The sequence below is a fragment of the Homo sapiens genome, chromosome 17 (genome assembly GCF_000001405.40).
Source record: "Homo sapiens chromosome 17, GRCh38.p14 Primary Assembly".
Lineage (NCBI taxonomy): Eukaryota > Metazoa > Chordata > Mammalia > Primates > Hominidae > Homo > Homo sapiens.
Genome location: NC_000017.11, coordinates 73,465,987 through 73,490,400, shown reverse-complemented (window position 1 = coordinate 73,490,400; position 24,414 = coordinate 73,465,987). Strand labels below are relative to the sequence as shown.

The 24,414-nt window shown below is 50.8% G+C and overlaps 1 protein-coding gene across 5 annotated transcripts in view, besides 3 other annotated features; it reads left to right on the top strand.

Moving 5' to 3' along the window:
* Positions 1–24,414, top strand: part of SDK2 (sidekick cell adhesion molecule 2) — a 310,062-nt gene that overhangs the window by 154,045 nt on the left and 131,603 nt on the right. For all 5 annotated transcript variants that reach the window (XM_047436313.1, XM_011524914.3, XM_011524915.3 and 2 more), the window contains exon 3: positions 18,183–18,289. In XM_047436313.1, the coding sequence (XP_047292269.1) occupies positions 18,183–18,289 (107 nt within the window). The remainder of the gene's footprint in view (positions 1–18,182; positions 18,290–24,414) is intronic.
* Positions 9,106–9,275: an enhancer, noted in NCBI's record as "experimental_47326 CRE fragment used in MPRA reporter constructs". NCBI's record gives its function as "activates a minimal promoter by MPRAs in K562 erythroleukemia cells, with activity observed for the introgressed 17:71477350 or rs372035646 variant allele {active_cell/tissue: K562}" and the evidence as "EXISTENCE:reporter gene assay evidence [ECO:0000049][PMID:34662402]".
* Position 9,190: a transcriptional cis regulatory region, noted in NCBI's record as "Neanderthal adaptively introgressed variant 17:71477350 (GRCh37/hg19 assembly coordinates) or rs372035646 in the experimental_47326 CRE". NCBI's record gives its function as "modulates activity of the experimental_47326 enhancer by MPRAs in K562 erythroleukemia cells {active_cell/tissue: K562}" and the evidence as "EXISTENCE:reporter gene assay evidence [ECO:0000049][PMID:34662402]".
* Positions 9,568–9,617: an enhancer, noted in NCBI's record as "active region_12699". NCBI's record gives its function as "activates an Ori minimal core promoter by ATAC-STARR-seq in GM12878 lymphoblastoid cells {active_cell/tissue: GM12878}" and the evidence as "EXISTENCE:reporter gene assay evidence [ECO:0000049][PMID:35858748]".

Sequence of the window (24,414 nt, the reverse complement as noted above, 5' to 3'; positions counted from 1 at the left end):
ACCCTCCTTCTCCACCTGTGTCTACCATCCCTTAGAGCAGAGCTACCTGGGCAGAGCAAAGCCGAGTAGTTTGACTTGGGACGCCTTTGTGCTGTGCTTTATCAGGGTGCCCTCCAGCCCTGCAAGCAGTGGGCCTGCCCCGGCTTCTTGATCACCCACTGTGAGTTAGACAAAGTGTCAGGTACCAGGGGCACTCCAAAAACAGGTGGAGCTTGCAGCCTTGCTAGGGAAGTCAAGACAGGCCGCCAAAAAAGTCAGAACGCAACCCCAGAGAGCAGGGCGGCTCTGAGAAAGGACACAGTTCTCAAGCTCTGGTGCTCAGTCGTGGAGGAAGGCCCGGGGTGGTGGTGTAAGAAGTCTGCTGTGAACTAGTCAAAACCAGGGCCACGTGGCAGGTTCTCATGATGGTAAATCCACTCTTTGCAGAAAACTCTGTGCCCTTTGTCCTCTTTTGATGTTAAAAATGGCCTTTTTAACAAAGAAAATGAAATCTGCATGACAGATTTTTTGCTTTTGTTGTTTCACTTTTTTGTTGGCCAAATTAAAGTTAGCTACTCTACCTAGGTTGAAATAGACATTGATGATATAGCGGTGGGCATAAGTATAGATACAGATCCCAGAGCAGAGAGCCTCAGCCACACCTGAAGCCTTGCAGCAGATATAGAGGGTCAATGCTGGCCTTCAGGCAGGGCTGCCAACAGCAGGCACACCAGGGCGGCCTCTTTCCAGCATCCCTTGACCTACCAAGCTCGTTATAGGGAAGAACCTGGAGACTGTGGCTCATCCTCCAGCCTTATCAACATCCAGTAATCCTGGAACATCTGGTCTAAGGAAACCCAGAGCCTGGTGAATCCCAGAGAGCAGGACTCAGCGGGACAGGAAGCTCCGGCCATCTGGGCGGTGCTTGGCAGGGTTCATGCCATCACAACTCACCAATCCCTGCCTGGTACCCCCCTCCAAGTTAATGCTTCCAATCCACTTACCCCGCCACCTCCAATCGTAGTATGAATTAGCTTGACAAAGTCATTCCTCCCCAAAGATGACCAAGTCTTCATTCCCTTAAGGTCCCTGGGATTTGGAGATGCTGAAAGACCTGATGTTTAACTCCTTCCCTCTGGCCTCCAGGGAACTGACCACTATTGTCTTCGTGGGTAGCAACAGGAAATGAATGGACTCGAAGTAGAGCTGGGGAACAGTGCATTTCTAAGCCAAGTGTGGCAGCAGCAGTAACGTTTTCACCTAAACACAAGCAGCTGCTGATACCACAGTACATGGAGACAAGGGTATTGCTATTGCTTTTGTTGTTGTCATTATTACTGCTAATTCCCAGTGCCTAACACAGTGTCTGGCATGGTGTAGCTCCAGTATGGGTAGAATGATTCATAACAGTGGGAAACCACATAAGGACACATTTCGTGACTGCTTACCGAACGTCAAGCGCTGTGCTAAGCACTTTGCAGTCAGTTCTGCTGCTGTGTGACGGATACGTTGGTAGAAATCACCATGCTATGCCAAACTGTGCGATAAAAAACAAAGGGCTTACGGGGGAAATGGAGTGGGGGCAGCAACACGCAAAAACTTCATTAGCAACACATTAAAAAAGAAAGGAACTTAATGAAGATAATTGCACAATTTTACACATATTAAATGGTTAAGAAACGCATAACTACTATAATACTTATGGCACTTTGCCTTGGAAAAGGCTCCCAGTGTGCTTGCGGAAGTGGGTGTCAGAAGGGGTGCAGCTTATAAGTTACTGTTAAGTGGTAGAAGGAAGGTTGTCGGAAATTGGAAAAAAAAAAAAAAAAGTTGCAACACCAGGTGTGGGTGTGTAACATTTGCAGTGAGCTGGGGACCCCAGAGCTGTGTGCATTTTGTGCACAACTGTGCATCCCACCTCAGCTGGGTGCAATTTTCTGTATTGACTCCTGCTTCTTGCAGACAAAACTGTGCACAGCAAATGCAAAATCCACAGATGCTCATATCGTTCTCTAATATATCAATCGCAGTGGAACAAATGTGTGTTTGAAAACAAGCCTTACAGCGAGCTGCCTGAACTTGTATTTTCTATAAGACAGCCATCTTGGCCGGGCGTGGTGGCTCATGCCTGTAATCCCAGCACTTTAGGAAGTTGGGGCAGGCGAATCACAAGGTTAGGAGATCGAGACCATCCTGGCTAACACGGTGAAACCCCGTCTCTACTAAAAAATACAAAAAATTAGCCAGGCGTGGTGGCAGGCGCCTGTAGTCCCAGCTACTTGGGAGGCTGAGGCAGGAGAATGGCGTGAACCCAGGAGGCAGAGCTTGCAGTGAGCCGAGATCGCGCCACTGCACTCCAGCCTGGGCGACAGAGCAAGGCTCCGTCTCAAAAAAAAAGGGACAGTCATCCTTACTTTGCCCGTTATACAGATGGAGTGTCCGAGGTATAACAAGGTTCTATCCCTTGTCTGAGGTCACGTGCTCAGTGAGTGACAGAGCTGGGACCAGAGTAAAGGGTTGTCTGAAGCCACAGCCGAGGTTGTTAAAGACTGTGACTCTTTGGGGCTATGATCAGCCTTTTCATTAACTATGATCAAAGTCATCTCACAGACTGGGAACCTGAGGACCGATGAGGCAGCACCCTGACCTCCGTCATCACCTAGACCCGTTTCCCATTTGAAGCCTTGATTCTGACCTCCCATCTCCCTCACACCCGTGGCTCCATCTCATCACAGAGCATGGTAAAGTTGTGTGTGCAAGGACTCACCCTGGGAACACCACACATGCAGATTCTGATCAGCAGGTCTGGGGTGGGGCCCAAGATTCTGCATTTCTGACCCGCTCCCAGGTGACGCTCCTGTGGCTGGTCCCCACACCTCACTGTGAGCAGCAGGGCTGTGGAACGCCTTCCACCTCTTACCCTGGCCCTCCCGCCCCATCTGTCAGTTGCCTGCTGGCTGAACCTGCTTCCCCAGCCAGTGGACCCAGTCATCACCATCTCAGCCTCCCTCTTGCCAGTGTCTTCAGCCCCCTGGCATTGGGGTCCATCTGTCACAGCTTCCTGGAAGAGCCCCAGCCTTGGGTCAGCCCAACTTTCAACCCACCTTGCTCCTTCCATAAGGCTACTGAGCCCTGCTGAAGAAAGCCAGCCACCTGTGTAGATAGCACCTGTACAAAGTCAAGGTACTGGCTGGGCACAGTGGCTCACACTTGTAATCCCAGCACTTTGGGAGGCTGAGGCGGGTGGATCACCTGAGGTCAGGAGTTCAAGACCAGCCTGGCCAACATGGTGAAACCCCATCTCTACTAAAAATACAAAAATTAGCCGGGCATGGTGGTGCGTGCCTGTAGTCCCAGCTACTCGGGAGGCTGAGGCACGAGAATCACTTAAATCTGGGAGGCAGAGGTTGCAGTGAGCCGAGATTGCGCCATTGCACTCCAGCCTGGGCGACAGAGTGAGAGTCCATCTCAAAAAAGCAACAAATAAAAAACAAAGTCAAGCTACTGCCCTCACCTGTGCCTTCCCACAGTTTCCCAGTCAGGTTACTCATCCTCAACAGATGCTGTTTTGAACCGCCAGCCCACCGCCCCTCCCTTCACTGCCCCCTTCCCCAGGAAGTAGGAGCATTGTAAGGAATTGATTTCTCCCACTTCCTGTCACCCTGCTTCAGTTAACTCTGCCCTACCAGGCCTCTCCTTCTGCCAGGGACTGCACTCCACTGGGTACAGGACCCCAGACCCTCAGGAGCTGGCTGTTGGCTCCATCACTTGCCCTCTCTTTCTGCCTCTTTTTTTTTTTTTTTTTTTTTTTAGAAGCAGAGTCTCACTCTGTCACTCAGGCTGTAGTGCAGTGGTGCAATCATAGCTTACTGTAGCCTCCAACTCCTGGTCTCAAGCAATCCTCCTTCCTCAGCCTCCCAAGTAGCTGGGACTACAAGCACATACCTCCACACTTGGCTAATTGTTTTATTTTTTGGTAGAGATAGATTCTTGCTATGTTGCCCAGGTTGGTCTCAAACTCCTGGCCTCAAGCCGTCCCCCTGCCTCGGCTTCCCAAAGTGATGGGATTACAGATGTGAGTCACTGCTCTCAGCCTCTACTTCTCCTAACTGCTCCCACCACCAATGTTTAAACCTGCTCAAGTCTCACATCTTTAAAAACCAAAGTCCCTCCTATAGACTTCCCTCTGCCCCACATTCCCTCTCTTGCCGGGAGCCACTCTCCTCTTTTTAGCACACAACTTTGCATTCTCCACCTGTCCAGACCCCTCCTCTCCTTGCCAGCTGTGCCCACTGAAACTGCCGCCTACCCCAGACCATCAGGTGCCCCCTCATGCTAGCACCAGTGACATCTTTCCACTGTCCCCTGGCCCCCCAGCATCATTGTACATGGTCAGCCCCATCACCTCTCTCCAGTCTATGGCAAAGACCAAATTGGCCTCTAACCCTGTGGCCTTGACCAACTCCAGTTCCCTCTCCAGTCTGCAGTCAGAGTGACCTTCGTACACATGTAAACCTGCCTATTTTGCACCAGGGGTTGGCAAGCATTTTCTGGTCCAGGACAGACAGTGAATGTTTGAGGGTTCACAGGCCACACAGTTTATGGCAACCTTCAACTCTGCCTGTGCAGCAGGAGAGCAGCTGCAGACGCTGTGTCCACAAATGTGCATGGCTGTGTCCCAGTAAAACTATTTATGGATACAGAAATTTGAATATCATATAATTTTCATCTGACATGAAACATTACACTTGATATTGTTATATTTTGCTAAAAATGTGTGAACTCTTTCTTCCTGGTACACCTATTGTAGAGGCTGTGGCTGTAGATTTGACCCATGAATATAGTTTGCTAAGCTCTGTTTTATAGCCCTGGTTAATACCCTCAGCATATTTCTACTATCCTCAGGAAAAGGCCCAAATTCTTCAGCCCAGCCCATAAGGCCTGGTGGGGACTGGCCCAGCCATGAAGTCCAGCCTCCCCGTTATCCCAGCCAGGCTCTTTCTCTGGCCAGCACCACAGTCGATGTCTCAGGAATCTCTGTCTCTGACATCTACTTATCACGCCTGGCACTCTTCAACCATCCTTGCCTTCCCCTCAGGATCAGCACTGGACAGCACCTCCTCCTTTTCTTCCCTCGCCCCCTCAGCCTCCATCAGCACCTGCACTTACCTGAGCCTTCCTGCCCTCAGGAGGGAGGTGGAGAGGCCCAGCTCCCACCTCTCCACATACACACACCCTACCAAGTCCCGCCCATCTCTAAGTCACCCCACGGCTCAAGCCTCAGCTGTTATGAGTTGAATTGTGTCTCCTCTAAAAATATATGTTGATGTCCTAACGCCTAGTGCCTCAGAGTGTGACCTTATTTGGAAATAAGGTCATTGCAGAGGTAATTGGTTCAGCTGAGGTCATACTAGACTAAGGTAGTCCCTAAAGCCAATACGATGGGGTCCTTTTAAGAAGACAGGAGAGCCCAGGCACAGTGGCTCATGGCTATAATCCCGGCACTTTGGGAGGCCAAAGAAAGAGGATCATTTGAGCCCAGGAGTTCAAGATCAGCCTGGACAACATAGTGAGATCCCATCTCTATTAAGAAAGAAAAGTGGGGGAGGAGAGAAACCCAGAGAAGAGAACACCAAATAAAGGCAGAGGCAGAGATTGGAGTGATGTGGCTGCAAGCCAAGGAACACCTGGGGCCCCCAGAGCTGAAGGAGGCAGGAAGGATTCTCCCTGGGATCCTTCATGCAGGGCATGGTGCTGCTGAGCTTGACTCAGACTCCTGGCAGCCAGGGCTGTGGAAGAAGAAATTTCTGTCGTTTTAAGGCACCCAGGCCATGGTGCTTTGTTACAGCAGCCCTGAGAAACAAATACGCCCCTGGATGCCCCAGTGTCCTGCTTCCCTCAAACAAGTAGGGCCTCTCGCATCAGGGAACCCACTCACTGTGAGGGAAGAGGCTTCTCAGCCAGCACCACTGTGCATTCAGCAGGTCTTATTAGGAGGCCGCTTCTCCCAGTTTGAGAAGCAACTGAGTCTCCCCTGCACACCTGGGAGGCTGGAGTGAGCCCGGAGAAGTGGGTCCATGGGGCTGCTCTGGCCACCCACCATGATTCGGCCACAGAGCCCCAGCCCCTTGGTTCCCTGAAGCCTGGTTTCCATGCAGCCTCTTTATCAGCTTGTCTTAATTTGGTTTCTTTCTGATCCACCTTGGCATGAAAAGAATCATAAAGAATTTCAGCCGGGTGCCAGGAGCCCGGGACAAAGGAGTCCTCCCCAACCCCAGGAGTGGGAGCTGGGTGGCGAGGCTTTCCTCCCCGAGCCGGAGGAGCGGGGAGCGGTGAGGAAATTCTAAAGCACAATTGTAATCGAGGTGAGAGGAGATGCTCCTTTCATTTTGCTTTTCTGTTTTCTTGTTTTTTAAAAAATAAAATAAAATAACCACACTGCCTCCCTCAAATCTCAGCATTTCTTTTTTCCCAGCCATTTAAACTGAAGACTGAGTTTTAACTCCTTATACCCTGGACAGGGCTTGTCTTCTGTGGTTTTTCATTCCTTTCTGCTCCTAGTAATAAAACGTTCTGTCTGGCTGGGCGCAGTGGCTCATGCCTGTAATCCCAGCACTTTGGGAGACCGAGGCAGGTGGATCACTTGAGGCCAGGAGTTTGAGACCAGCCTGGCCAACGTGGTGAAACCCCAACTCTACTAAAAAAAAAAAAAAATATATATATATATATATATATATAAATATATATATATATATATATACACACACACACACACACACATATATATATACATATACATATATATACATATATATACACATACATATATATACATATATATACACATACATATATATACATATACACATATACATACATATATACATACATATATATATACACACACACATACACACACACACACACACACACACACACACAAAGATTAGCCAGGTGTGGTGGTGCACGTATCTGTAGTCCCAACTACTCGGGAGGCTGAGGCAGGAGAATTGCTTGAACCAGGGAGGCTGCAGTGAGCCGAGATCGCGCCACTGCACTTTAGCCTGAGCAAAAGGATGAGACTCCATCTCAAAAAAAAAAAAAAAAAAAAAAAGTTCTGTCTTGTGTCGGTGCAGAGTTGTCCGCGGGTCGCCCCACTCTCCTCCCATCTATGTAGCGGCTCTCTCCCAGCTGGGCTCAGACACAGCTCCTGCATCAAGGCAAGGCCTGGGCAGCTCCCCAGAGGAATTTCTTTCTGGATTGTGAAGCAAAAACAAGCAGAGAAGACCTACCGCAGAGCAGTCTTGAGGGCCCCAGGACGGGTCAGGGCGGGCAGGTATAGGGCAGGAGCACGGATGGGGTCACATGGGCCTGAAAGGGAATCACTTTGCTGCCTCCTAGCTGGGTGACTTCAGGCCACATGCTCAACCTCTCTGAGCCCAGGTCCCCTGGCTGTAAAATGGGAAGAGGAGTCCCTTCCCCTGTAGTTGACCTGGGAATGAACCAGATAGCGTGTGTCAAGTGTTTGGCTCACAACCCGATGCTGCTACTGTGGTTGTTATTTAGGGAGGGATCCCTGCTTATTTTCTCAAGCAGTGGGAGTCCCGCTCACCCAGGAGGAGTAGCCGTCTTGGGCTCCCAGCCCTGTCCTGCCCTCATCTCACCTCACTGGCTCCCTCAGCTCTCTCCTTTGCTTTCTCATCCAGCCAGACCTCTGTGGGGACCACTGGGCTGATGGATCACAGTTTAATGAAGTCCTTATCCTTGTTCATTGAGAGCACTTAATTGGCCCAGAAGGTCCCAGGGCCGACAGACGCCTTCCCCCAGCCATCGCAAGCCAGAGCTGTCACCGGGATAGCGGCCCCCAGCTCGATAACACCGCCATCCTCTCATTGACCGCAGGGCCGGGGGATCAATCGGAGCCTCACGGGCTTTTCTGGCAAAGCGGGGGAGGCTCAGTGGTGGCCAGCAGGCCCTGAGACATCTCCTCCCCTTATGAAGCAAACCGCCCAGCAGCAGGTGCTTGTGCAAGCCCCAGGTTGTGCCTCGGCTGAGCAGCCGCTTTCAGACACATCTGTATCCTGCCCTGCTCAGCCCTATGAGGAACCAGAACCAACAGGAGACAGACCTGCTTCTTCTTCTTTTTTTTTTTGAGATGGAGTCTTGTCACGCAGGCCAGAGCACAGTGATGTGATCTTGGCTCACTGCAACCTCCAACTCCCTGGTTCAAGAGATTCTCCTGCCTCAGCCTCTTGAGTAGCCAGGATTACAGGCACACGCCACCATGCCCCACTAATTTTTGTATTGGTAGTAGAGGTGGGGTTTCACCATGTTGGCCAGGCTGGTCTTGAACTCCTGACCTCAGGTGATCCTCCTGCCTCAGCCTCCCAAAGTGCTGGGATTCCAGGCGTGAGCCACCACACCCGGCCTATCTCCCATATTCTACGGTCGGTGTATTAGTCGGGGTTGTGCAGAGAAGCAGAAGCAATGGGAGAGAGACAGATGCACGAGGTTCGTTATGGGACTTGGCCCATGTGGTTATGGAGGCCAGCCAAGAACACCAACTGCCGCCTGCAAGCTGGAAACCCAAGAAATCCAGTACCGTAATTCAGTCTGGGCCCAAAGGCCTGGAAACCGAGAGCCCATGGGTGTAAGTCCTAGAGTCTGCAGGCCGGGAACCAGGAGCCCCAGCGTCCAAGGGCAGGAGAAGATGGGCATCTCCTCCCAAGACAGCACATTCCTCCTCCCTCCGCCTTTTTGTGCCATCCGAGCCCTCAGTGGATTGGATGGTTCCGTCCTGCGTTGGTGAGGGATCCGGCTACGTCCTGCGAGGGGAGAGGGCTTTCACCACTCTGTCTCCTGTCTTTCTGTCTCTCTCTTTCTCTGTCTCTGTTTCTCTGTCTCCCTGTCTCTCTCTTCTTTACTCCATCTGCTGATCCAAATACTGATCTCTTCTAGAAACACCCTCACAGACACACCCAGACCATCCTTTACCAGCTGTCTGGGCAGGCATCCTTCATCCCAGTCAAGTTGACACCTAAAATTAACCATCACATCAGAGTCAGGGGTTCCTCCCTGTTCTGTCCACTGCGGGTACCCCCTCTCCACCCTCAGGTTCCCTAGAAGGTGGGGGGAACACACTGTGCCCAAGTCCCCCCTCCTCCGAGGGACACAGAATCCTTCCCTATCCCAGTGTCTGTCCTCTGGGAGGGGACAAGTCCAGGGCCCTCCCCCACCTTCCAAGGATTCTGGAACCCCGTGCTCAGCTCGCCTGGGCTTGCCTGTCCCCTCCCCAGTGCCTGCTCCAGAACCAATTCCGGATCTTCCCCTAACCCTTCCCCTCCTGAGGCTGCTGCCTCCCCTTCAAATGGCGGCCCTGTAGCCTCCCAGCCAGGAGCACAGCATCCTTCCCCAAGTACCATCCACAGAACAGGCTGTGCCTGTCACCAACTCTCACCGAAGATGTGGGAGGGGAATTACAGCACAGGACAGAAACTGCTTAAAATAGAAAAACAGACATTGCTGTTCCTGAGGTGCCCTGGCTGTCCTCACCACAGGGTGCAGCTGACATCACCCTCCCTGGCCAGCCTGCTCCCAACTACCCGGCCTCTGGCTGTGTCCTACATGGGGAGAGGGCTTTACCTCTCTGTCTCTGTCCCCTGTCTCTCTTTGTCTCTTTCTCTGACTCTGTTTCTCTGTGTGTGTCTCTCTCCATCTCAGCCTCCCTGTCTCTCTCTCTTTCTCCCTAGATCTCTCTGTCTCTCTGACTGTCTCTCTCTGTCTCTGTCTCTCATTTTCACCCCCACTCACCCCCAGCAGATCCTTAGGGCTGCTACCAGAAGGGAAATTCAACATTACAGCCACTTGATCATACCGAACAGGTGAGCTCTGTTTGCCTCAACCCTTTCCATGCCTGAGCCTCTCCTTCCACAATCAAAAGATCCACTAAAGGGGCTGCCCAAGCCATCCAGCTCCTTCTTCCTGGGCCTCCAGTGTACTAGACTGGCCAGCACTCAGCAACAATTTTTGATTAACATGGCCTAGATCAAAATTTAGGCCCTGCCCAGAAATACTCTGCCTCTGTCTATGTGAAGCAGGAGGAGGTAGACAGCCGAACTATCCTCTTCTTACCCTAGGAATGAGAGACCCCAAGCCATCGGATACATATCCCGTTAGGTTCATGTTGTCAATGGGCCAGACTGTCCCATCATTCTAGGTACTTAGCTGTGTGACCTGGGGTAAGTTACTTTCTCTCTCTGGGCCCCGTTTTTCTCATCTGTGAACCGAGGTTTATGTTAGCACTGCCTCTGCAGTACTGTGAGGATCAGATGAGTGGATACGTTAAAGTCCTAGAGGGAGAGGAGCAGAAAAAAATAACTATTGGGTACTAGGCTTAATACCTGGGTGATGATAAAGAAAATAAAACTTAGGTCAGGTACAGTGGCTCACGCCTGTAATCCCAGCACTTTGGGAGGCCAAAGGAGGTGGATCACCTGAGGTCAGGAGTTCAAGATCAGCCTGGCCAACATGGCGAAACCCCATCTCTACTAAAAAATATTAAAAATTAGCCGGGCATGGGGGCAGGTGCCCGTAATCCCAGCTACTTGGGAGGCTGAGGCAGGAGAATTGCTTGAACCCAGGAGACGGAGGTTGCAGTGAGCCGAGATTGTGCCATTGCACTCCAGGCTGGGTGACAGAGCGAGACTCTGTCTCAAAAATAAATAAATAAAAATAAGACTTAAAAAATAAAATACAATTACAGCAATGTGATTAAAAAATATAAAGTCCTTAGAGCAGTGACATTTATTATAATAATAGTTATTATGTTAATTGCATAATGGTATATTGTTATTATTTATTACCTGGTACATGTTCTTTTCCCTTTTGATCGCCCTGGACAGAGTTTTGCCCGATTTCCTGAAGAATCTTTGCAAAAGCAAATCCACAAATATAGTCAGTCTTTTTCTAGCCGGCCACCAGTCCAGTGGCCAGGTCCTCGATCACCACCTAAGTCTTCCTGCTGCAGGAACAGGCCCAGTGTGTGCTCACAGGTGTCTGAGGACACACACACACACACGCACAGACATGCACATGCTCAGCACTTGCTGCTTCTCCTGCCTGCTGCCCAAAAGTCCATGGGGAGAGGGAAGGAAATCTGGGTTCCCGAGCTCAGTGGCCCACTGCTGTTCCTGGAACCTGTGTTGGCCTCAGACATCTGGGGCGACACCTGCAGGCAGCAGGCACACATGGTCCCCTGACCCCCCAGTGGACATGATGACCCACCTGCCTTCTCTACCTGAGCACAGTTCACTTGAGGAGAGGAGGCCTCATCCAAACATGTGTGTGCACAAATGTATGTGCACAGTCATGTATGAGTTTGCAGGGAGGTGGATTGCATGAGTTTGCATGTGTGTGCACAGCACGGCGTGCATGAATGTGCGTTGTACCATGGGTGAGTATGCATGAGTGTGCTCCGTGTATGTGCACAAGTGTGCACATGTGCACTCACACACACCTCCTTCCTCCATGGGAGCATCACCGCGTGCATCTCCAGGCGTCTGATTTATTAACGAGGACAATACAAGGAGAGTGTGCCTATTATTTCTGGTGTCCGCATCAGCTCCTGACAGCTTCGTGGAATTGAAATATCTTATTTAATGCGAGTAAGAATCATTTTAAATATCAACTGTGACACTCAAGGACTCGAACCAAAAAGGGCATTGTGTGTTTCCTCATGTGCTGGAGAAGATGCCACATTTGTTAGGCTGTTATTGTCCCCCCTGCTCCTCTCTTGTCGCTAAAAATCCAATTATCTGTCCTGGCTCTTCCTCCCACTGTTGTCTTGCGCCCTCCACCCTGAGCTCATCTCTTCATCTTCGAAGAGTGGACTGAGCCGCAGGGTCCTGCCGGATTAAAATCAGGACAATCTGTGATGGAGATGACGAGAACGGGTGTGGATTCTTGGCGTATCTTCCTTCACTGCCCTCTTTCTGCCCCCAGCCCCAAGCCCAGCCCCTGAGGTGCTCTCTCTACCGCCTGCTGCTTTTGACCATTGAACTGGGAGAAAGCAAATCTTCCTCCACCCGGAAGATTCCTCAATACTCTGCAGCTGTCAAAAAGCCCGAGGAAGCTCCATGCACAGCTACGGAAAGATTTTTGAGATACATTGTCACTTGCACAAAGCAAGGAGCAGAACAGTGCCTACAGGAGGCCATGTCTCCTGTTTATAATGGGGAGGGATTCTAAATGCGTATTTGCTTGCATTTGCATAAAGAAGTTCTGAAAAGACACTCAGGAAACTAATGACAGTCGTTTCCTCCCTGTGTATGTTGGGGATCAGGATGACAGGGCAGCTGGGGGACAAGGGTGGGAGAGACGTTTTGCTGTGTACTTTTTCTTTTCTTTGAATTTTGAATTGTGAATATATTTCCTATAATAAATAAATAAAGAGCAGTCCTTTGAAAGGACCTAGGGGTAGGTGAATGCAGGTGTGTGCTGGCTCCCAGAGGCCACAACCCAGCAGCTCTTCCTCGTTGAATAGAGATTAAGGTTGCAGGTCACCCAGCCACCGTCACTGTTCCTCATCCCTGGAGGAGCCAGGTTCCTGCTCTTCCACCTCAAGGAGGCACATGGAGGTGACTGGGAGGTTGAGGGGTCAGAAGCCGAGGAATGTGCCAGGCAGGGGACTCCATGCTCCCCTAGTGCTTGGCTGAAGCCCCTAGAGGATCCCCATTCTAGGGGGAGGGCCTCTGCTTCACCCTCCTCTCTGAGCCTCCCCGCCAATGACTCTTACATTTGCCCCTTCACTTGGCAAGCATTTGTGCAGGCATTTGTATCCACGGCCTCGCTGGATGCCCACATCAAAGATGGCCATCATTATTCCCATTTTACAGTCAGGGAAACTAAGGCTTGCAAGGTCCCATAACTTGCCTGGGCCACACATCTAAGAAAGAACAGAAGTGAAAGTCAAGTGTAAGTCCCCCTGAGGTGGAAGTCCTGGTGCCTTCTCCAACACTGCACTTCCTCTTGAGTGGATCAGGTGTGGACCCTTCAGCTCCGGCCCTGCTGCTCCTCCAGGAGCCATTTAATCCACCCCCCACCCCCGGGGTGACCTGGATGGGGCTGGACTCAGCCAGTCTCCTGCTGGGCTGGCAGCTACGGGTGAGTGGGGCAGGCAGAGCTGTGGGCTGAGTGTGTCTTGGTGGCCCAGGAGGGAGCGCATTGGGGATAATGAGTGCTGTTACTGTCATTATCGGAGGTGCTTACAGTGCGCTGGACTCACAAACCGAGAAGCTGGCCAAATGCCTCTTCCACCCGCCTGGGAGGCAGGGAGACGAGAGCTGCAATTTGGGTGGAGTGAAGTGGGTTTCCCTGGTAGGAAAGGCAGTGGGCGGAACTGTTACTTTAAATAATGTTGCCTACAAGCCAGAAATAGGTCTCCCAGGCAGGGAGCACCAAAGAGACAGCCCAAAGAAACGGAGGCGGAGGAGCGGGAGAGAGGTTGTACCCGCACTGCTGGGGCAGGGATTACCTGCCCTCGATCGCAGAGGGGTACAGAGGGCGGCCTGGGGGAGGGGAGGGGGCCAGCAGCCCACGGGCCTTCCTCATGGCCCTAATTAGACCCTAACTGGGACCTGGGTATTCCTGGCTGAAGCAAATAGACATAGTCCTCGCTACTTGGAAGGTTGAGGCAGGAGGATCGCTTAAGCCCAGGAGTCTGAAGTTACAGTGAGCTAGGATCTCGCCATTGCCCTCCAGCCTGGGTGACAAAATGAGACCCTGTCTCTAAAAAATAAAAAAAATGAAAAAGAAATGGGCTTTTATTAAAGTTTAAATTTCACCACGCCTCACTGACATCAGCAAACAAATCCAGATCCAATGAGCCCCTGGTGCCGTTTTTATAATGTATGCTTAAATTATGTGCACAATGTGCATCTTTTTATTTTACTTTTAAAATAAAAGCAATATATGCGTACGATAAAGAAAATTCTGATGGCATAGAAAGACATAAAATCAAAAAATAGAAGTTTCTTCCCTCCCCATCCCGGGTATCTCTCCCAAAAGGGAGATAACACATTCTGGAGTATCCGTCTTGAAAAAATTGTATGCCTATCCCAGTGTGTTTGTGTGGTTATAAGTGTGTGCGTTTGTGCTTGTGTATTTGTATACACACAATACACAGAAATATATATATACTATTTCAATTTACCCAAATGGCATCATAGCAAATACTATCATGTCATCACACTATTCTTTACCTTTTTTTTGTTTGTTTGCATTTTTGCAACAAACTTAAATTATTATTGGTTTTTTTGAGACAGAGTCTTTGTTGCCCAGGCTGGAGTGCAGTGGTGCAATCTCAGCTCACTGCAACCTCCACCTCCTGGGTTCAAGCGATTCTCCTGCCTCAGCCTCCCGAATAGCTGGGACTACAGGCGTGTGCCACCACACCTGGCTAATTTTTGTGTTTTTAGTAGAAACGGGGCTTTGCCATGCTGGCCATGCTGGTCTTGAACTCCTGACCTCAAGTGATCTGCCCACCTCGGTCTCCCAAAGTGCGGGGATTTTTATTGGACCAGTTTGTATGATGTAAAACATTAAGGGTTTGGTAGCCTGTATCAATGAACAGCAACCGATAAGAATATATTATCATTCTTGTCCCTAACAGTCAACTATGAGATTGTTTAGCATCTTGCTATCGCGTGCTTTTATTCGCAAACCTTCCCCTCCTCCCCAGCTCTTACTTTCTTTCCATGCTCTGTGTCTTGGACACCTTCCTACCTCCTCTCATAACATGTGTTCATTCTGTGGCTGCTGCATCATTTATTGATCCAATTCCATTTTGATGGACATTTAGTTTGCTTCTAGCTTTCGTTTGTTTGTCTCTGCGATGGCAAGCAAATGCTACAGTGAACAGCCTTGCACATATTTTTTTGTCACATAGTTGCTAGTGTATCTAAAAGGCCAGCTCGCTGGGAGCCATGGCTCACGCCTGTAATCCCAGCAGTTTGGGAGGCCGAGGTGGGTGGATCACCTGAGGTCAGGAGTTCGAGACCAGCCTGGCCAACATGGTGAAACCCCATCTCTACTAAAAATACAAAAATTAGCTGGGCGTGGTGGCAGGTGCCTATAATCCCAGCTGCTTGGGAGGCTGAGGCAGGAGAATTGCTTGAACCTGGTGGGTGGAGGTTGCAGTGAGCCAAGATCACACCACTGCACTTCAGCCTGGGCAAAAGAGTGAGACTCCATCTCAAAAAAATAAAAATAAATAAATAAAAGGCCAGCTCCTAGGAGCACAACCTCTGAGTCAAAGAGCTGGCATATTCTAATTTTCATAGACTTTTTCCCAAAGGCTGGACCAATTTCCAGTACCACAACAGTACTGCAGGTATACTTTCCCCTCCCCCTCACTCCTGCCGACACTGGGTTTGACCACACCTGAAAATCTTTGATGATCTGCTAGGCAAACATGGTCTTGTCGTCTTGATTTGAATTTCTTTCACTATGACGGAAGTTGAGCATATTTTCATGAGTTTATCAGCCATTTCTATTTCTTTTCCTCTCTCTGGTGCTTTTTAATAATATCTGATTCCATTTCCAAAGGCAGAGAGCTTTTCCGGCCCATCTCTTCTTCCATCTCCCCTCTAGGGTCACCCCATCACTTTACAGACTCAGACAGTTCCCCCACAGTGGCCTCCCCTCGCCTCGGGAGAGAGGGGACGCAAACAGGAGAGAGGGCTGAGGGTGGATTTGAAGATGAGGTGAACGGAGGAAGAGAGATTTACCAGAGCTTGGGCACTGCTGTCTCCCCGCCATCACACTGCGCACAGTAGCAAGAGACAGATAAGAGCTGCAGCCGGTGGCAGAGATAAGGGGCTTGGGCAGCCAGAAGGTTCTGGAAAATGCTGCAGAGCCAGAGCGAACTTGGCACGTGGCCAGTTGTGAGTCAGCCCTGCACAGACCCAGGATGGAGGGTGGGGCCCTTGGGATGTGACCTCAGCTTCACAGCCAGGCTTGGAGTCTGAAAGGCTCTGTGGGACTTTGCCTCTTACAATGTGTGAAACTTACAGGTTACTGACAAGATATTTCTGAGCCTCAACTTCTCCACCTCTAGAAAGAAGGTGCTAGTAGGGTTAGTGTGGAGATTAAGTCACAGGCTCTCAAGTGCTGACTGATGACAGTTTGCAACTGTCCTCATAAAAGTCAGGGTAGTGGGCTTTGTGTAAAATTTAAGTTTAAAAATTTGTTAAAAATTGGCTGGGTGCGGTGGCTCATGCCTGTAATCCTAGCGCTTTGGAAGGCAGAGGTGGGAGGATTGCTTGTGCCAAAGAATTCAAGACCAGCCTGAGAAACATAGAAAGACCCCCATCTCTTTTTTCAAAAAGTTTCTTTTTTTAATATAAAGAAGGAAAAATGTTTTTAAAATGCCTTTATGCTGAGATTAGGAGTTTTTTGTCATCCCAGAAATGTCCTTTTTAAATTAAATGCTGACCATTTCTATTTATTTTTCTTTCCCTGGCACTTTTTAATATTATCCCTTTTTAAGTGTTTTTGTTGTTGTTGCCTGATTATTTGTCTGTTTGCTTTCTGGTTGGTTGGTTTTAATAATCTTGGCAAAAGAAGAAGTTCACAGTCTCATGTTGGTCCCACTTTTTTAAGTGTTACTGGTTCATGATATTCAATAGGCTGGGAACTGCTGTGTGAAATGAAGAAACGTATGAAAAGTACTTAATACAGTGTCTGATGCAGAGATGGTGCTCCGGAAGGGGTGGTTGTTGTTTTATTCTTGGCAAGATGATGATGATGACAGGCCCTAGCCAGATCTCATGTATTAATAAAACCAAACTGGCATCTCCCAGGAATAAGGCTGCTGCATCCCAGGGTTGGCACATCTAGAGATACCCTAGAGGCAGGTGTCAAGGAACTTGTCCACCAGGTCTGCTGGGCAAACCCTAGGATACCAATGAATTGGAGAGAGGCATCCTAGGACATCCCTTCTTCCTCTGAGGGTCCTGTGGGACCATTGCCTAGGGATGGGAAAGGTGACCACCAAGGGTGAACCAGGAGAACTAGCCCCTGGACCCCGGTCCCCTTCATCCACTCCTGTCCCACTGTCAGAAGCTCCTCTCACTGACGTGCCTCCTCCTTGCCTCTCAGCTAGGTGAATGTACATACACCTGCTCCCAGCCGCCTGCCCCCCAATGCCAGAGTCTGCTGCTCTGTGGGTAACAAGTATTTCTGGAGTGGGCTTTCAAGGGGCCAGCCTGGAGTCCCACATCCTGTCCCCAGAACCCACAGAACACTAGCTTGTCTTATTCAGAAGGCTCTGCCCAACCCCGCCAGCCCAAAAGCTGCAGTGCAGCTGTATTATTAGTCCGTTTTCACGCTGCTGATAAAGACATACCTGAGACTGGGCAATTTACGAAAGAAAGAGGTTTAATGGACTCACAGTTCCATGTGGCTGGGGAGCCCTCACAGTCATAGCGGAAGGCAAGGAGGAGCAAATCACATCTTACATGGATGGCAGAAGGCAAAGAGAGAGAACTTGTGCAGGGAAACTTCCCATTATAAAACCATCAGATCACGTGAGACTTATTCACTATCACGAGAACATCATGGAAAGACCCACTCCCATGATTCAATTATCTCCCACCTGGTTCCTCCCACAACACTTGGAATTATGCGAGCTACAGGATGAGATTTGGGTGGGCATCAGGGGCTGTCTGTAATTTTAAGAAAGGAATGATACTGAGCATTTGGGAAAACATGTAAATTTCCCTGTCTCTGTCACCTCCATCCATTTCAACTAATATAGCACAGTCCTCTGCAAAGACAAAAAAAAATGCCCCCACCTTTCTCAGTCATGTGAGTCACAGGTCAGGGAGAATAGCTGCTTCCAACACAGCTGACACAGCCTTAGGGTCAGGGTCAAGGATTCGGGTGCAGCACCTTCCCTGCTTGGAGAAGGGCAGGCTAATTCCCAGGCAGCTGAGCAAAGGCCTCATTGGCTTTGGGAGGAACCCTCCTATTTATTGATAAAGACCTTTGTGTGATCCTATGACATGGCTAGAGAGTCAAGAGTTCCCTGGTACTCTTATTCCAAAAGAGGGTGACCTGGCGACCTCTGACCTCTGAGCCCAATCTGACCTCTGTACCCCTGCAGCTGCCTGACTTGCTCACTGGCTGTCTCGTCTGTCCCATAGATACATGATCACCAGCCTGGACCGCACCCACGCTGGCTTTTACCGTTGCATCGTGCGGAACCGAATGGGGGCCCTGCTGCAGCGGCAAACCGAGGTCCAGGTGGCCTGTGAGTACAATGGGGACCCAGGGGCAGGGGGGGCGACTGTGGTGCCAGAGTGGCACCCACCAGCCACATCCTGGGCAGAGCCAGATCCCGTCATGGCCATCAACACCCACTGAGTGCCCATGGTGCCCCTTCCAGCCAGCAACCTCATTTTGCAGTTGGTAGAACCAAGGCCCAGAGAGGTAGCAGGCCCTCTTCAAGGTCACGCAGCTGTAAGTCTCATGCACATCTGCTGACCCTGTGACCCCATCACATGTCCCGAGAGCCAAGAGCTCCCTGGTGCTTTTCATTCATTTTAGACAAGGGTGGCCTTGTCTGTGTCCTTTAAATGGGACCAGCTGATTTGTGTTTCAAAAAAGGGCCTTGCACCTGCTTCCAATGCCTCCTCTGTGGTCCACCTCACACCTGGGAAGGGGCATCTTCAGAATGGCCACTCTGAGCCTCTCCAGCTACAACCCTCTTCTCAGCAGACTTCCCAGGGCCTCCATGACTTTTATTTTGTTTTTGTTTTTGTTTTGAGTTGGAGTCTCACTCTGTCATCCAGGCTGGAGTTCAGTGGTGCAATCTTGGCTCACTGCAACCTCCGCTTCCAGGTTCAAGTGATTCTCCTGCTTCAGCCTCCCAAGTAGCTGGGATTACAGGCATGTGCCACCACACCCAGCTAATTTTTTGTATTTTTAGTAGAGATAGGGTTTCACCATGTTGGCCAGGCTGGTCTCCAACTCCTGACCTCAAGTGATCTGCCCACCTCAGCCTCCCAAAGTGCTGGGTTTACAGGTGTGAGCCACCGCGCCCAGTATGACTTTTATTTTCCATCCTCCAACTCGCTCAACCCTGGAGTGATAACAGCCTGAGGGTCTCCGTGATCTTCCGGGGGTGCTGGGAGGTGCCTCATGGTGAATGCTGAAACTCCAAGGGGAAGGGGAGAATGAGGAATGAATCAGGGTTCCCAGAAAGGCTGGGGGGCAGAGAGTGAAGTGGGAGGCCCTCACCAAGCCTTTGTGGGTAACGGCCTTCTCCCCCGTGCCGCCAATTCCAGAGGATCTCCCTCCGAAGAGGAAGGGAAGACAGCTTCAGAAGAACCCCAGGGCATCTCAGGGGCCAGGGTCCTAGAGTACCAACCGACACTCTTCCCCTAAGACCCAGTGTTACCTTCCCAGCCCTGTCCCGGCTTCCTCAAATATCTGCTGTCTTCTAGAAATGAGGCTCATTATGGGCTGTTGCATTCTGGGTTTTCCTAGGAGGAGAAGTCCCACGTTGTACTGTGGGACATAACAGGGTGGCAATCCTTAGGCCAGAATTTTTGTTAAGGCACCCTCTCATATGGAGCTCATGGGAGCATGCTTCTAAATTAGCACAAGAGAGAGCTTGCTACTTAAAGAGAAGTGCAGGAGAGAAATCTAAAAGAAAATCTCAAGTGAGGCAAAGAGTGTTTATGATAATTACGGAAAACAACCGTAATCAAAAGTGGAGGATGGATTGTCCCCATAAATCAGCACTAACGGCAACTCAACTTACTCCAAGGAGCAGAAAAAGCCCTGAATTAAAGTGATGGATCTCAGGCAGCTGTCAGCGGCTGGAGGGCTCCCCGGGAGCTTCGCTTAGTCAGTGCTGAGAGTCCAGGGGGCAGGGGGAAGCTGAGGCTGGGCCTCTAGAGAGACTGCATATGTGTGTGTGCATGAGTGTGTGCCAAGGTGTGTGCATGGGTGTGTGCAAATGTCTGTGTCCAGGTTGGTTGGCCTTTTTGTTCACATGTGTCTGGGAAAGAATGAGTGTGTATATGTGCGGGTGTGTGCACAAGGATATTTGTGTGTGTGTGTGTGTTTGCATGCATGCATGCATGTGTGCTTGGGTATATGTTTCTGTTGCCAGTCTGCCTCTCACCTGTGTATTTGAGAGAATGTGTATTGTAAGCATGAGTGTGAGTGAGTGCAAATGTGTGCCCTTGCATTGCATGTATTCATGTGTGTGCATTTGAGTATGTGCAAGTGTATACACATACATGTATTGGTTATGTGTTCAGATGTGCATGTCTGGAGTAATCTGCCTCTTTGTTTACCTGTGTGTGGGCCAGAACCTCTGTGTGTGTGTGTGTGTGTGTGTGTGTGTGTGTGTGTGTGTGCGCGCGCGCGCAGTCGCAAATGCCATTCAGGATGCCATTTAGTCCAGGCTGTGGGGTGGGAGTAGGTGGTAAGTTCCAAGCCCTTGGCTCATAGGAGACAGTAGAAACTTTCTGGAGTTGAGAGCCCCTGAGATGAAATGACACAGCCTCCCTGGGGTTGGCTCTGCCAATCAAAAAGAGAAAGGAAGGGAGGTCAGTGTTTCTGTGGCTGAAATGCTTCTCTTCATGGCTGTGATAGGAATCCCTGAGCCCAGACTCAGCTCCTTGATCCCCCTCCTTAGGCAAACTCCTTCCCACATACACACAAACCCAGGGTGGGGGGAACTCCCTCCACACCAGGCCAGACACGTGTGTGGTCCCTTCCCCTGGACCCACAGGTCCTTCTACCTTCACACTGGGGGAGGGGTGTGACCAGGCCCATCTGCAGGGCGAGCAAGCAAGTTGCACTGATCATGGGCAAAGGTCCTGGCATTTCCTAGGTGCTGCAGAGAAGGGCTCAGACAGACCTGGGCCCGCCCTCTGGGCACTTCCAGGCCATGAGAAGCAGATGGAAGGGGACTTGTGCTGCCTAACACCCTGACACCTGCTTCTGCCCAGGCACAGACCCTGGGGATGGGGGTACCCTGAGCTTCCCCTTCCCCACACTGCGGGTTCCAAGGGCCCTGGACCACCCTGGGTGATGCTGGCAGTGATGACCCTCAGTGGCAGTGACATATGGGGGCCTGGCTCAAGAGGGAGCTTCTGAGATCCAGGGAGTTGCTGAGCTCCAGGGTGACAGTGAAAGGGCTTTGCGGGTAGTGCCTTACAGTGTTGGCAGGCTGGGGGCTCATCACCATGACAGGCAGTGTGGCTTAATAAAAAGAGTGGTCTGGCCAGGTGCAGTGGCTCACGCCTGTAATCCTGGCACTTTGGGAGGCTGAGGTGGGCAGATCACAAGGTCAGGAGTTCGAGACCAGCCTGGCTAACATGGTGAAACCCCATCTCTACTAAGAATACAAAAATTAGCCGGGCATGGTGGCATGCACCTTTAATCCCAGCTACTCGGGAGGCTGAAGTGGGAGAATCGCATGAACCCAGAAGGCAGAGGTTGCAGTGAGACAAGATCATGCCACTGCACTCCAGCCTGGGCGAAAGAGTGAGACTCCATCTCAAAAAAAAATAAAAATAAGGCTGGGTGCGGTGGCTCAAGCCTGTAATCCCAGCACTTTGAGAAGCCAAGGCGGGTGGATCACAAGGTCAGGAGATTGAGACCATCCTGGCTAACACAGTGAAACCCCATCTCTACTAAAAATAAAAAAAAAATTAAAAAAAAAATTAGCCAGGCGTGGTGGCACATGCCTGTAGTCCCAGCTAATTGGGAGGCTGAGGCATGAGAATTGCTTGAACCTGGGAGGCGGAGGTTGCAGTGAGCTGAGATCATACCACTGCACTCTAGCCTGGGTGACAGAGCGAGACTCCATCTCAAAAATAAATAAAATAAAAAGAGTGGACTTTGGAGTCAGACAGACCACATTCACATCCTTGCTCTGTCCTGGATTGCTGTGTGACCCCAGGGAAGTGACTGGACCTCTCTGAGCCTCACCCCAGCTCAGGTTCTTCATCCCTAAAATGTATTAATAATATCGACCTCCTAGGCTCGTTGGAAGGATTTCTTGAGCTCATATGTGCCAAAGCGTCTAGCCAGCTCCCAAACAGTGCACCCTGCATCAGTGGGAGTGACTGCTGCAATTAATACTCTATATTATCACCTTAAGGAAGTAGAGAAGCAGGCCACAGAGCAGAATAGCCTTCAGTAAATGCTGTCCCAGCAAAATGCAGCAGGCTGGCACCTTCCCCGGTGCCATCCTGCCAGCCCGGCCCTGCCCCTCCACTACCTCTCACAGTAGGATTCCTGCCCTGTTCCAGCAGCCCCCTCAAAGCCCCAGAGCTCCAGGTGCCCCCAGACATGGTTAAGACCATGGATGTTGCTGCGTTCCACCAGGACCATGCTGTGCTGCCCAGCTGTGCACATATGGGTAAGGCCCCTGGCAAAGGAATAGGACACCTTGGAGTGGCTGAAGGGGGAGCAGAGAGAGAGACCCAGGTTAACCTCCCCCTGTCCACCAGCTGCAGCTCCCTGAAACCAGCGCTGGGAAGCTGCATCTGCTACTGTGCACGGCTTTGCAGGTGTGAAGCTGTTTCCTCCATAATGTCGTGAAGTGGTAACCACAGTCCACAGCCCTTTGGGCCCTAAAGCCAGGAAGTTAGAAAAGCCCTAGGAAGTCCTTCCGACCCTTGAGAAGAACGCAGTTCCTGACAAGCTAAGGAAGGTTTCACCCAGCCAGGATGGGAAGGAGAGAAGCATACCTCCCCCATTCATGCCCTTGCTGGACACACTGGCCTCATCCCAGGGGGCCTCCCTCTCTAGCTGTAGAAGCTGAAGAATCCTCTGTCCCAGCCCCACTTCCCTGGGATTCTGGGCCTAGGGAAACACAGCACTTGGCAAAACCATTCTCACTCATAGCAGTGCTCGTCCTGAGGGTCACTGTGCTGGGAAGGGCACAGTGGTTCTCGTCCCAGCCTGCAGAGTGCAAGTCCCCATCTCCATGTTACAGATGAGGAAACCGAGGCTCGGCCGGGTGACACACCTTGTCTAAGTCACACAGTTAGGAAAAACTGGGATTTGAACCCATGACTGCCTGATTCCAAAACAGCGCCACTCTACTGCTTGAGGACAAGAAGAGAAAAATCAAAATTGGGTGTGTGGGAGGAGGGTGAGGGTGAGCTGCTGGGGTCAGAGTTCAGACAGAATCAGGGACAGCCCTGGGCTGTAATAATCCATGTCCAAACAGCTCTGCAAATGCACAGGGTCTCCCACCTAGGGTGAATGTCTAGTGCCAGCGGGTGGGGTGGGGTAGACTCTACCAATCACATCGTTTTCCTTGCTCTCAGCAGGACGAGTAGATGAAAAGTACCTACACAGAGCTCCAGGGTTCTTCCGTGTGCCAGGCATGGCCCTTGTGCCTGAAATAACGGCATGTCTTGGGGATGGAGGTCCGAAAGCGTGGATTCTCGCCCCAACCGAGGCACTGACTAGCTTGGGACTTTGAGCACCTCCCTTCCCCTCTCTGGACCTCAGTTTTCCCATCTGTAAAATGAGATCCATTTCAGTTCTGATGTTAACAAGGTTAAAGTGACCTTCAGGGTCATGACCCATGGGGCCCAGCCTGGAAAGAACTGTCCCCCAAAGAAGCCCAGAGCCCCCCAAAGATGCAGAGCCTAAGCCGGGGGGGGGGGGCGTTCCCCAGAGCCTCCAAAATGATCCATCCTGCTGTGCCATTGTGTAAATGTCTTTCTTCTGTGGGCTCCCAGGACAGGTCTGAGAGGTTAGAAGGCAAATCGTTTGAGGAACATAAGAGGAGCAAACTGGGGCTCAGAGGGGTTGCAGAATAACCCACAGTTCCAGTTCCACAGCTGGCAGTTCCACTGTCTACCTTCTTCTGCCTGGCAGGGTGTAACCGTGGCCCCAGCTGTGAGCCCTGGCTTTAAATCCCGACTCACCTCCCACAAGTGACCTTAGGCAAGTTACTTCTCTGTAACTTTGGTTTTCATTGTTTGTATAACAAAGGATGCTACCATGAGTACGGACTGACCTGAGTGGTTGAAAGGATTATGGTATCAACGCACACAAACCATTGCAGTGGGTCCCCAGACTGGACGGCACTCAGGGAGAAATAGACTTTAGGTCAGCCAGGAAAGGTGTCCTGGAAGAAACAACCTTCTTGAATCTGTCTACCCAAGTAGATACATGCCTAGCCACCCTCTCTACTCCTGCTCTCCAGGGCTGGACTAGGCTGAGGCAAACCAGGCAGTGAGGGTGCCCAATTTAAGGAGGTGCTCATTCTCAAGTGCTCACCCCGTACTTGCATGACCCCAAGAGTGGGTGCCTCCTTAAATCTTTCACCCTCAGCACTTCAGTCCCCTCTCCCTACCCCAGTCTGGGGCCCTCCCAGGATTCTGTGCTTCA